At 40.9% G+C, this 13972-nt stretch overlaps 1 pseudogene, besides 1 other annotated feature; it reads right to left on the reverse strand.

Moving 5' to 3' along the window:
- WBP2P1 (WW domain binding protein 2 pseudogene 1) lies at positions 1748-2518 on the reverse strand (annotated as a pseudogene).
- Positions 6786-6986: a silencer, noted in NCBI's record as "peak3077 fragment used in MPRA reporter construct". NCBI's record gives its function as "represses an SCP1 promoter by STARR-seq MPRAs in K562 erythroleukemia cells {active_cell/tissue: K562}" and the evidence as "EXISTENCE:reporter gene assay evidence [ECO:0000049][PMID:32103011]".

A 13972-nucleotide genomic window follows, 5' to 3' on the forward strand; every position in this document is an offset into this window, starting at 1 on the left:
TTATCCGGGAATGAGCTGGAGAGAAGAAACTGAGCATATTTCCCAGCCGTTTTCTCTCTTCCTGCTCTTGAGAATTAACAGTCCATAGGAAGCAAACATTTTGCCCTGCTTCTCCACACCCCAAGTTCTCTGGGGCAGGCTCCCCTGGGTGGGGGCCGGTGGTGATCCAGCTAATGTGACCCACCCATAAAGTCTGTCTCATTCTGAGGCTCTATATTATGAAACCGACTTGCCTGCAGATATAAGCCACATTCTCCAGTATCAGGATAAGAAGGTGATACTGTGGTCTCTTGTCTGTCATATTTTTTATTTTATTTCTCGCACTGTTTAGTAACTCCAGCGGGGAAGAAAGTGTTATTTGTTTGCCTCTTCATATTCCCTTGAATCTTGAACTCATGGCTTGCCTCCATCCCTAAATGGCCTCAAAAAGCTATCTGATACATTTTCTTGCTCTTGAAAGAGTCATATTGAATTACTTCAAAAGTATCAAGTAGCCTAAATATATAAAGTGGTAGTTGCATTACATGGCAGAAGAGCTGAAAATTAAATGATTTTGAAGATTTATGGTCCAGATTAAATATTGCCCCTATTGTCATCCCACATATGGAACAGAGGACCTGAGTATAATCTCTTTTACAGATAAAAAGTCAAAGACACGGAGAAGATCATCCAATGATTCTCAGGCAGAGAGGAGTTGGACCATCCTACTTTTTTTTCCCTGTTACTTCATCTTTACTATTTCACATTTTCGGCCAACAAATCAAGGTACAAACAGAATTTATTTCACATTAATATATTAACTGGATTTTTTGTCAAATAAATAGGGAATTCTCTTTAAATAACCATCTCCTTACTTCATGGCCAGTGCAGGAATGAACTAGAGCAAATGTCAGTGTGTCCGGGGGCATGAGGCTTATAGGAAAGAGGCAGGCTGAGGGGCTCCAGCCAGCATGCAGGGTCAGGGGCCCTCATTCCTGGCCCACCCAGGTGGCACAAAGGCACAGATATGCATTCTCTAGTTCCAGTAGAGAAGCCCCTTCTAGAGGGAAGAGAGAGGAGACGGAAAGCAAATTCCAGAAACACTAGCAGAAAGCAGGGAGGCTTCCTCCCCAGCCTCAGTGGGCTTGTCCTGATGCCACTCAAGTCCTAGAAGCTCATTTTACAGCCTCAAAAGTCACATGGAGTTGGCAACACCATGACCCAGGACAGGGAAGGGGAGGGTGACAGTGGCTGGGGCCAGAACCTGGCTGAGTGGAATCTGGGCTGACCGTCCGCACATGGTGGCCTTTCCAGGCCAGGCACAGACCAGAGGAGGGAATGTGAACCAGGCCTGGCGGGGGTCTCTGGGAAGACACCTGGCTGGTCTGAGGCGGCTCATGAGGCTGAGTGTAGAGTGGCTGCCAGACCAAGAGAGCTGGACTGCAGTGGATGAGGTGGCCAGAGTCCCTGTGTAGGGAGAAGCTACGAGAGTGAAATGGGACCGGGAGGGTGGGGGGCGGGGGTAACGCCCTGTGCTCCCGAGAGCCCCGAGATGTGAGGGAAGCATGCGGCTGGGAAGCGGAGCAGGGCCTCTCCCGAGGCCAGGGACCCAACTGTCCCCCAGCGCTCGTTCCTGGTAACTGTTTATGATCAGACCTAGAGGAAGAACGAGGCCCTTTCTCACCTCCCCCAGCCCCAGCCGCAGCCCTGAGGGAAGGGGTAGGAAACAAGGACTGGGAGGTAGGCAGGAGGCTGGAGGTAGGAGGCGTCTACTGGGTCTTCTTATCTTCCCTCGGGTAAGATGGCGGAGGCTGCTTCGTGGGCATGGAGACGTGGTGTGGTTTGCCTGGGTTATAATAGGTGCTGGCAGCTGCTTTTGTGGCCCTGGCTTCGGCTGCAGGAGTGCAGGGAACATCTGGGCTGACCGGAGGTTCCATGGGCCCAGGACAGGGCAGTGGCGGGGGTTGCACATACCCCATGGCCCTGTCCATCTTGGGAGGTCCTGGATAGAACTCAGGGGAAGGTGGTGGAGAAGGGCAGCCAGGAGGGCAGGGATACATTCCACTAGTGACTGGCGGGGGAAAGACACATGTCCTGCCAGGCACGTGAGAGTGGCCGTAGGCTCCACTGAGGGCTTCACCCCTGGACGCTTGAGATGTCACCTGGAGCACCTGCTGTCCAGATTCAGTGGCGCCCCCTGCCGTGAAGGCGGACTTGCCGGAAGCAGAGCCTTCCCAGCCACCGCCTGCTTCGGTGTTCACTGTTCCCTTGATGCAGTTTGTGTCAAACACAGGCTGCTTGATCTCATAGGCCTTCAAGAGATAAAATGACATTACGAAGGACTGCGTGGCATCCTTCGCCCTGGACAGAAAGATGAAAGGGGTAAGGTAGATGGTGCCTTTCTTGGTCCCTTTGGAGGCCTCTGGCACATTATTCATGTCACTGAACGTAAGTTTCACATGATCGTAGGGCATTGGGATGCTCTCAGTGTTGTTGGCGATCACTCTGCTGCCCTCTGAGTGACTCTCGTTGAGCACCATATCTTTCCGAAAGCAGCCCCGAGATGCCCCATCCTGCAGTTGACCAGCCCACGGTGGTAGCTACATCTTCACAAATGTGACTTTTAGGTAGAGAAGCAACTCAGGGGAATCCACACCCTCCCAAAGAAATCTTGAAGTTAGCCTAGGTCTTCCATATTTAGAAGGTCAGTGGAGGCAGGCCAAGGACTAAGCTTACAAACAAATTTTTGTGTTCCTTTAATGGGCCAGTGAAATGGCTCAGTCATTTAGGTGACCCTCATAGAGAGATTTCAGCTAGTAATTATGTTGCTTAAGGGAGGGGGTGGGGAGGACTGTTCTCCTCTCTTTCCACGCGGTCATTTGCACGTGGAAGTTTCTGCTTTTCATATCTGTGGCAGTGCCACGTGCAGCGCTCTCCTCGGAGTGTCAGCTCTGGAAAGATGCTATTGCTCCGAGGACTGGTCTTTGAATTTCTGAGGGTGAAGGATTGGCTTTGGTCAGCAGTCATCTTCTTGTCACAGTTGGGCACATCCTCAGGCTATAAAATCTCTCTAATGCTAGGTCCCCACTAGTCTCTTTAATGAGATCCTGGACAGACCTGTAGAGAGGCCCCACGATCCTTCTCCAGAGACCAAGGGGAGCTTGGAGGAGAGGGACAGTCCCAAATGCTGCCACCCTACCATTTCTGGTCTCAGTCTTTTTATACCAAATCTCTTATACTGCCAGTACTCTTAATTGTCTTTGCCAGAAGGAGGACACAGTGGCTCATGCCTGTACTCACAACAATTTGGGAGGCTAAGGCAGGAGGATCACTTAAGCCCAGGAGTTTGACACCAGCCTAGACAAAATAGTGAGACCCTATGTCTACATTTTTGTAATTAGCCAAATGTGGTGGTACACATGTGTGGTCTCAGCTATTCAGAAGGCTGAGGTGGGAGGATCACTTGAGCCTGGGAGGTAGAGGCTGCAGTAAGCTATAATTATGCCACTGCAGTGCAGCATGAGTGACACGGTGAAACTCTGTATCCCAAAAAAGAAGAGACAATTTTTAAAATATTCTTTTAGAGATGGGGGTCTGTGTTGCCAAGGCTGGTCTTGAACTCCTGGCTTCAAGCAATCCTCTCGTCTCAGCCTCTCTAGTAGCTAGGATTACAGACAGGCACCACTGCACCCAGTTTATGAGGAAATTTAAAAATTCCTTTTTTAAAAATGAACTTGATCTCAATATTCCCAGCCAAACATTCCCATCATTTTCTTGGATAGTCTAAATCAGTGGTTCCCCAGTCTTTTTGGCAGAAGGAACTGGTTTTGTGGAAGACAGTTTTTCCACAGACCAAGGTTGAGGGTGGTGTCAGGATGAAACTGTTCAACTTCAGATGATCAGGCAGTACATTCTCATGAGGAGCGGGCAACCTGGATCCCTTGTATGTGCAGTTCACAACAGGGTTCGTGCTCCTGTGATTATCTAATGCTGCTGCCGATCTGACAGGAGGCGGAGCTCAGGCAATAATGCCCGCTTGCCCACTGCTCTCCTCATGCTGTGCAGCCCGGTTCCTAATAGGCCATGGACTGGTACTGGTCCATGGCCCGGGGTTTGGGGACCACTGCTCTACATAATGCAAATTTCAAGCAGAGAGTGAAAAAAAAAAAAAAAACTTTAACATCAAAAACTTGATAACAACTAGCCATGTTGTGTTTGAGCTGTGACTGAGGTAAAGCAGTGATTTTTTTTTAACCTCCCTCTTTTTCCTTCATACTCCATCACAGAGCTCCTGGCCCAGCTCAGACTAACATACTTGGCCATCTCTGATCCTTTCTCGTTTCCAACTAACAAGCTCTGCTGTGTGACTGCAATTCTCTGCCTGTGCATGAATGTATGCCTTTGGATTCGCTCTGGAAGAGTAACCCTTGTGGGTTACGACCACAAAAAGGAACGCATAATGATTGTGCTGCTGTCTTCTCCATACCTCTAGCTGCAGGCTAGGCATCGAAAACCAATGAAATCAGGCAGCTCTCCTCAGCCCAGAAATTAAGATGTCGGAATGTTAACAGAGACCCACAGACGGAACAACAACAACACTTGTTCATTGTTGGAAAGAGAACACTGCCTTTATGCTCCTTGGATAAACAAACACTGTGCGTCTGTCAGGTGGTGGTGGCCTGGATGTTGTAAGTACACAATCAAGCATCATCTACCAGCAAATTCTTTAACTCAGGGCTTGCAAGGAAATTTCCAGAGTTCCTTCCCCTGTATACATGTTACCAGACTCTTCAGCAGCATCTGCCCTTTTGCCTTTCTGGTACCGTTTACAAGCTGAAAACACTTCTAGAAGCCAAACCCCCAACTTTCAAGGAAGGTGAGAAATGCTGTTTCTTGCTTGAGGCTCTCTTTCAACTGCCTTTCTCTTCAAGGAATAATAATGACTCCCTTCAAGAAGGCTCTGGCAGGAAGGGTGATGAAGAGAGGTAGATCCTTCTCCCTCACAGAGGAAGTTGAAATTAGCCTAATTAGATTTTCAGAGCACTTAGATACCACAGTGATAGACGCCATCTAAATACATAGACAGATAGGAAGAGAGCACAGATGTTGTGTGAGACCAGTGATTTAGTTCCAAGTCAATACTCTTAATTAACTGCAAACTGTTTAAATATATAACATTCCCAACATGCAGCCAGTAACACCTATATAGTACTCTTCATCTGTGTAGCTCAAAGTAGAAAGCAAAATAACCCCCATATCCAAAAGTGTAAACTGGTAATAATAATTACTTATATTTAATGCTGATACACTGCCTCTAATTCCAGGCCCCCTGATGATATTACACACTTTGTAGATAATTGTCTCTTGTCCAAAACAGGAATGCAGCCATCAGTGAGAAGCAAAAACAGCTGCAATCTAAAAGATACCAACTCTTCTGTATAGAGGGAAGTGTTTTGTTCTGCTTTAATAGCAACTGGCCTAAGAAAAATGCATCTGCTTCCTACACTGGTTGGTGCCTGGTTGTTGTTAATAGTTGTAGGCTAAGCCCCTTGTCCAAAGTGAAGGTTGGGAGGAGGCTCACTTCTCACTTGGGGAAGTCATAGTCTGTGACCTTCAGAATGAAATAAGCCTTAAGACACAAGCAAAATGCCTTGTGGTCATCAAGCCACATCCACTCATATTTGGGAACCCCTTGCCTGTGGAATCTCCAAGACCATTGACAGTACTCACAGATGACATTCTTTTTTTCTAGAAGTTGAAGAAAGACACATAATTGGCTTGTAGTATATTCTCTTATTGGTCATACAAGAAACTCCACTGAGTAAATATGGTCCCCTCGCTTGTTGTTTCAGAAGGTGACCAAAAAGCCTGTAAAAAAAAAATGAGGACTAGCTCCTCAAGGGACAGACCTTGTGATTGAGACTATGAGAATCTTTCTTTTTTAAAGCAATAAATATTTGTGAATGTACACTGAGGAATCAATTGTGTAATTGCAGTAGCAGTCAGAATTTTTATTTAATCATACAACAAATATTTATGAAGCATTTATTTTGTGTGAAATCGTGGATGTACAGTAATAAAGTATGTACCTACCCTCGTGCTCATGTGCTGTACATAAAGAAGACAAAGACTAAAGACATAACCATAAACACATCTAGTAATGGTGTTGGAGTCGCTATATAAACCCTCCTACAGATGACGATTATAAAATCTGTAAAACAAAAAAAAAAAAGAACAACTATTTATAGGAATAAGAACACATCCAAAAGTGGAAGACAGAAGGCAGATTACTTTTAAACACCTCGAAGGGGGAAGAATTGGGAGTTTGCAGTTATCCTGCCTGAAGATGTTCCCCAATACCCCTGGCCAGGGCAAAGAAAAATATCAGTCACATTCCAGGCTCAAGGTAACAGAGAACAGAGGACAGGAGAAATTTTGGGGGAAAATCTATAAGATAATGGGAAAAGGATTGAAACCCCCAAATCTTGAGTAAAAATTTTTGCCCACATCATTGGTTGGCTAGTAAAGTATGCATATGTGGGGCAGAATCTGACAAAGGCATTAGAAAAGCAGGCAAAGGCCAGACAGGATTTTAGTCTGTAAAGATAGAACTGCACCAGATGAGTTCTCTGAATTTACCAAGAGGATATTTAGCAGCTGGAAGTCATAAAAACTGAGACAAGATCAACGGCTACACACCACAGAGGAGACTAAGTTTTCTGTTTAAGTTCAAGCAAATTAATTGCTTAATGAAACAATAACACGAGTATTTAAGAACATAACTGATTGTAGTCACATTGTATTTTCTACAATGTCCACTTTTCAAACAAAAATTACTAAACATGCAAAGATACAGAAACATGTGACCCATACTCAAGAAAAACAAAAAACGTCAATAGAAACTGACTTTAATGGAGCCCAGATGTTGGATTTAGCAGGAAAGAAACTTCAAATCAGGTATTCTAATACTTTCAAAGTATTCAAGGAAAATGGTCTTAATGAAAGAGCTGTTAGAAAATCTCAACAGAGGAATGACACTATAAGAAAGGGAAACTCTAGAGCTAAGAAGCACCATCACTTAAGTGAAGAATTTACTCATTTCAGTTAAATAAAAAATTAACTAAAATTTAGTTTTAAAGACAGATTGAAGTATCAGAAGAAAGAGTTAATAAACTTTAAATGAGATTAACCGAAATTACTCAATCTGAATAACACAAAGAAAAAAACTTGAAGAAAAATAAACAGAGCATCAGAGACCTATTTATATCAAGAGATAAAAAGTGGTGTAATTGGAATGGTAGGCGGAGAGAATAGGAGAGAAGAGAAAGGGGCAGGAAAGTGTTAAAAGAAAGAATGGCCTATAACTTCAAAAATTTTATGGAAAAAACTTTAAATTACAAATCTAGGAAACTCAGCAAACCCTAGCCAGAATAAACCTTCATAGTGAAAATGCTGAAAGTCAAAGATAATGAGAAAATCTTTAAAGCAGCCAGAGAAAGATGGCATGTTACATACAGGAGAACAATGATATGATCAATGGTGACTTTACATCAAAGTAATGAAAGTCATATGAAATTAGAATGGCATATTTCAACTGTTGGAGAGAGAAAAAAACTGGCAACCAAGAATTTTGTATCCAAAGAATTTATCCTTCATATATGAAAGAGAAATTAAGGCATTGCCAGATAAACAAAACTAAGATAATTAATTGCTAGCAGAACTGTGCTACTACAAAAGCTAAAGTAGGTTTCAAATTTAATTTTTTTTATTTTCACTTCTCTCAGCTCATACCTATAAAGTTAGTTTTTGAGGCTGAAAGGAAATGACACCAGCAAATGTGTCATAAGCAAAATTTGTAAAACTGTATTATTGAGTTGATAACATATTGATTTCATATTCAAATGACAACAATAACACTAAAATAGGAAGACAGGGAAATTAAAATATACTGTTGCAAGGTTACTATATTTTATCTGAAATTATTCAGTATGAACTCTAAGTAGATTGGGACAAGTGAAAGATGAAAGATATATGTTGTTACCTCTAGAACAATGCTATTAAAATTTAATAATTAGCTCGATATAGCTAGAAAGCCAGTAAAGAAATTAAACAAAATACTAAAAAATGTTTGATTAACACAAAAGAAGGTAGTAAAGGAGGAACAAACAAGCATCAAGAGAGATAAGACAAGACAAACAAAATAAACAGCAAAATGGTGACCTAAAATCATCTATTTCAACAACTGCACCAAATTTAAATTAGTCAGATATCCAATCAAAAGACATGATTGTCAGACTGAATAAGAAATGAAGAATTAATTATATGCTGTCTACAGGAGGTGCCCTTGAAATATATAGAAACAAATAGGTTAAGAGTAAAAAGATTGAAAAAGTCATGTCATGCTAATAGTAGGCACAAGAAAATAAGATTGGCTATATTAATAGCAGAAAAAATAGACTTCAACATGAGATGTATTGTTAGAGACAAAGAGGGAAACTTTATAATGGCAAATGGGTAAATATTAGCTTGGTGTAAAAGTAATTGTGTTTTTTGCCAAAACCGCAATTACTTTTGCACCAACCTAATATATCAGAAAAACATAATAATTATATATATTTATGTATCTAATAAGACAGCTTCAATATAACCAAGGAAAAATTGACAGAGAAATAGACAAATCCACAATCACAGTTACAGACTTTCACAAATGTCTCAGTAATTGATATGCTAGCTAGACCAAAAAAAAAGTCATTGAGGATCTAGAAGAATTAAGTGACCCTATCAACCACTTTTACCTAATTGTGATTTATAGCAGACTATATCCAACAAATGCAGAATATATATTCTTTTAAATTCATATGGTAGATCCACAAAAGTAGAGCATATGCTGACTAAAACAAGTCTCAATATATTTCAAAAGATTACCATATTACAGAGTGCTTTTTCTGACTACAATGAAATTTAATTGAAACTCAACAACAATAAAATTTTAAGAAAACCTCAAATATTTAGAAATCAAACAACTCACTTTTAATAATCCATGACACAATGTAGAAATTATGAAGAAAATTTTAACATATTTTAAACTAAATAGTAATGAAACACAACATATCAAAGTTTGCAGAAGGCAGCAAATGTCCTACTTAGAGGGAAGTTTATGGCTTTAAATGCTGATAGTAGAAAAAAATAGTATAAAATCAATAATTGAACTATCCATTTTAGGAAGCTAGAAAAGGAAGACCAAACTATATGCAAAGTAAGTAGAAGAAAGAAGTAGTAAAGAGTAAAAAGAAAAAAATCAGAGAAATAGAAATAAACAACAAAAAATATTAACAAAGCCAAAAAAGTTTAGCTTGAAAGAATCAGTAAAATTAATAGTGTTCTAGAAAGATCAAAAAGAATGAGAGAAGGCACAAGTTACCAATATGAGCAGAACTTCACTACAGGTCCAACAAACATTAAAATGAGAATATAGAAATATCATGAACAATTTTACACCAGGAGTTTCAACACCGTAAATGAAATTGAAAAATTTCTTGAAAGGCACAAATTTTCAGAATGGAGACAAGAAAAAATAGAAAATTGAATAGCCTTGTCTTAAAAGAAATTGGATTAATAAAAACTTTTCCAGAAGGAAAGTGGTGAGTTCTATCAAACATTTGAGGAAGAAAAAATACAAATTTCACATAACGTCTTTTGGGAGTTACTTTCCCACTTTGGGAGGCCGAGGCAGGTGGATCATGAGGTCAGGAAATCGAGATGATCCTGGCTAACACGGTGAAACCCCATCTCTACTAAAAATACAAAAAAATAGCCGGGTGTGGTGGCCGGCGCCTGTGGTCCCAGCTACTCGGGAGGCTGAGGCAGGAGAATGGCATAAACCTGGGAGGCGGAGCTTGCAGTGAGCCGAGATCGTGCCACTGCACTCCAGCCTGGGTGACAGAGCAAGACTCTGTCTCAAAAAAAAAAAAAAAAAAAAAAAAAAGAGTTACTTTCCAACTCTGTCTCTGTTTTGTTTTTTTAGCCAGCATTAGTTTGGTATAAAACCAGGCTGAAAACCTTGTTTCAAAAAAGAAACTACAAATCAATATCCCTCAAGAATACAGACACAAAAAATTCTTAGCCAAATGTACCAAGTCAAATACAGCAAAATGTAAAAGGAGGACTACATCTTGAACAAATGAGATGTAAAGCCTGATTTAACATTCAATAATAAATCAATGTAATTTGTGTATTTTTAATAAGGCAAAAAAATTATTTCGCTAGATGCTCAGAAAACCTTTAACAAATTTCAACACCTATTCATAATGAGAGCTAGTAAACTAGTAATAGGAGATAACGTCTTCCCATTGATATGGAAAATCTATGTTCTTTTGTTGTCGTTTTTTTGAGGCAGAGTCTTGCTCTGTCACCCAGGCTAGAGTGCAGTGGCCCAACGTCGGCTCACTGCAACCTCCGCCTCCCAGGTTCAAGCAATTCTCGTGCCTCAGCCTCCTGAGTAGTGGGGATTACAGGTGTGAGCCACCATGCCCGGCTAATTTTTGTATTTTTAGTAGAGACAGTGTTTTCCCATGTTGGCCAGGCTGATCTCAAACTCCTGGCCTCAAGCGATGTTGCCGCTTCAGCCTCCCAAAGTGCTGGGATTACAGGCATGAGCCACTGCACCCAGCCAGGAAAATCTATGTTTAAAAAGCCTATACACGAGGTACAGTGGCTTATGCCTGTAATCCCAATGACTCTGGAGGCTGAGGTGGTGGGATCACTTGAGGCCAGGAGTTCAAGACCAGCCTGAGCAACAAAATGAGACCCTGTCTCTACAAATAGTAACAATAATGATAAACTAGCCAGGCACGGTGGTGCACTCCTGTAGTCCCAGCTATTTAGGAGGATTGCTTGAGCCCAGAAATTCAAGGTTGCAGTGAGCTATGATGGCACCACTGCACTCTAGCCTGAGCAACAGAGTGAGATCCTGTCTCAAAAACAAACAAACAAACCCAAAAAGCAAAACTTCTACAATAACATACTAAATGATAAAAAATGGAATGCCTTCCACTGAGATCAGGAACAAGCAGGGATATTCACTTTCACCACTTCAATTTAGCATTGTACTTCAGCTCCTAGACATTGTAATAAAGAATGAAAAGATGTAAATAAAAGTGATTGTAACATTTCCTTTCCCCACCAACAGCATGTGAGAATTTCAGTTGTTCCACATCCTCACCAAAACTATTTTCCGTCTTTTTTACATTAGCTATTCTGAAGGTTGTGAAGTGGTATCTCACTGTGATGACTAGTAATTTTGAACATTTTTTAATGTGCTTATAGCCATTCATATGTACATTGGAAAGAAAGAAACAAAAGCCTATATTTGATAATTCTATGATCATGCACTTACAAAATCTTAAGGACTTTACAAAAAAGAAAGGCAGTAGGTCTAATAAATGAATTTAGCAAGATCAAAGGATTTGAGGTCAATATACAAACCAATTGCATCCTATATGCTAGCTATGAGTAACTGAAAATTGAAAGAAAGGCTGGACACTGTGGCTTACGTCTGTAATCCCAGCACTTTCAGAGGCCAAGGTGGGTGGATCACTTGAGCCCAGGAGTTCAAGACCAGCATGGGCAATGTGGTAAAATCCCATCTCTACAAAAAATACAAAATATTAGCTGGTGTGGTGCCTGTAGTCCCAGCAACTCGGGAGGCTGAGGCAGGAGGATCACTTGAGCCCAGAGATCAAGGCTGCAGTGAGCTATGATCATGCCACTATATTCCAGCCTAGGCAACAGAGCGATAGATACCCTGTCTCAAAAATAAAGTGAAAAACATTACCATTACATTTTACTATAGCATCTGAAACATGAAATACTTAGGGATAAACTTAAGATATATGCAGAGCTTTCCTATTTTTTTATTTCTTGAGCTCCCAGGAGCACTTTTCACATATTAATTGTAGTAGCTCTTATGGTGAATTGATTATTTGTAGTAATTCTTGGGCAAAGGCTATGTCCTGCTCATTGCCTTATCACCAGTGCCTAGCATAGAGCCCAGCAACATAAATTAATAAATCTCTCTGTATGTTTATCCTAAAAACACAACATGTGTACATGAAAGGAAGTTTTGAAAATGGAAAAATGTGGAGGATATATTCTCCATAGTCCCTTCTCTGTCAATGTTTTGGATTATTTCCTTCCAGCCTTTATTTTTCCCTATAGGTAGAGTTTTGGAATTTTTCTTAACATAGTATTCATACAGTAGCATGTTTGTATAATAATGGTTGAACTTCTATCTTATTCATTTTGAAATTTCCTTTAGTTACAATTGGTTATTTTGATTTACTGGAACACAATAAAATATAATTGGCTGCCAGAAAGAGGCTGTCCTCATAAAAAAACAGTGAGTCGGTGTCTTCATGCAATCACTGGTGTGGTTCTCCTACCTCAACCCCGTCCTCACACTCACCTGTGTTGTGTTAACTCTGAGGGGATTTCTCCCAGGTGTTCTTTTGTAAAACTCTTGCATAACTGCTTTTTAGGCTTCCTCATCCAAGGGCACATTAAAAACAGAAAGCCGGAGATGAAGTGTGTGCCCCTTATAGACAAATTGGGGTCATGATCTGAAGATGTCTAATATACTGGATCGAAACTACCCTAAAAAACAATGCTGGCCAAAAAAAGTACCTAAATGCTAAGTAAAATGAGTTCCTGCCCCAATTCCTCGTGCATCAAGGAACAACTTAGGTCACAGTCGAAACTCAGAGTTCAAAAACAATGAACTCCATACACAGAGAAAAATAAGATTCAAACAGGGAAGGACTTTTCCAGATAGACCAATACAAGTGTTTGTCAGCCATGATAAAAATGCTCAGATCACAGTATCAAGCATCCAAGAAATGTCCAACAGCAGTAACAACAGAAATAAAACTCTGGTCATTAGATACAACAGACCAATGGGATCGTTGTCTTGGAGCTAAAGACAGAACAAAACCTAGATTGATTGAAATTTGCTATATCAACTCAGAGATACATGGACTTTCTGAAGTAGTACTGCAGACAGATACTTATTAGCCACTGTAAGAAGCAATTCTCCATGAGCTCTTTCCTTGAAAATTAGATACTGTAGTTCCAAACTGTGTGTGTTCACTTCTAACAGAGTAGAGATATGCCTAGGGAAAACAAAAGGAAGAAGGGAAAGAGATAATCACACAATTGCCTAACAACCCTTTGCAAAACCCACTCTTCCAGACACCTGGGAGAAGTGGGCTGGCTAGACAGAAATAACCTCTAGGTGACACTTTATATGCCTTCACTGGATGCCAAAAGAAATCAGACAGGAAAGGTAAGGAAAAACTAATTTGATGAAAAAGACCAGCTGAAATGAGAGAGGAGTGACTCTTCTGGTAACCAAGGTATCTGGCCAGCCATGCACCAGAGTTCTTCCTCAACACAATTCTCCTAAGAGCTACCATTTTCAAGACCCTGCAGAGCTCAGCACCTCAGGGCAGCCTGCTCTGGTTGCCTGGAATGTGCTCCTTCATGCACTTCATCACATTGTACTGGAATTGAAGTTGTTATTCTTTTTCTCCCCACCAGGTCAGTATAGTTTGTTGCAGTGAAGTGTTTATCTGTAATGATTCTAGGGTAAACACTATGTCACAGTCATTGCCTTCTGCCAATGCCTAGTATAGAGCCCCGCTAAATGAATTAACGAATACTTACGGTAGTCCCACCTTATCTGTGGTTTCATTTTCTGCAGTTTCAGTTACCTGCGATCAACTGCGGTCCAGAATATTAAATGGAAAATTTCAAAAATAAACAATTCATAGGTTTTAAACTGTACGTCATTTCTGAGTAGTATGATAAAATCTCTCACTATACTGCTGCATCCTACCTGGCACCTGAATCATCCCTTTGTCCAGCATATCCATGTTTGGAACATATCCCCCTTGGATAAGGGGGCAATGCTGCACATGTATACTAATTTTAAAGCCAA

The sequence above is a fragment of the Homo sapiens genome, chromosome 18 (genome assembly GCF_000001405.40).
Source record: "Homo sapiens chromosome 18, GRCh38.p14 Primary Assembly".
NCBI classification, from domain to species: domain Eukaryota; kingdom Metazoa; phylum Chordata; class Mammalia; order Primates; family Hominidae; genus Homo; species Homo sapiens.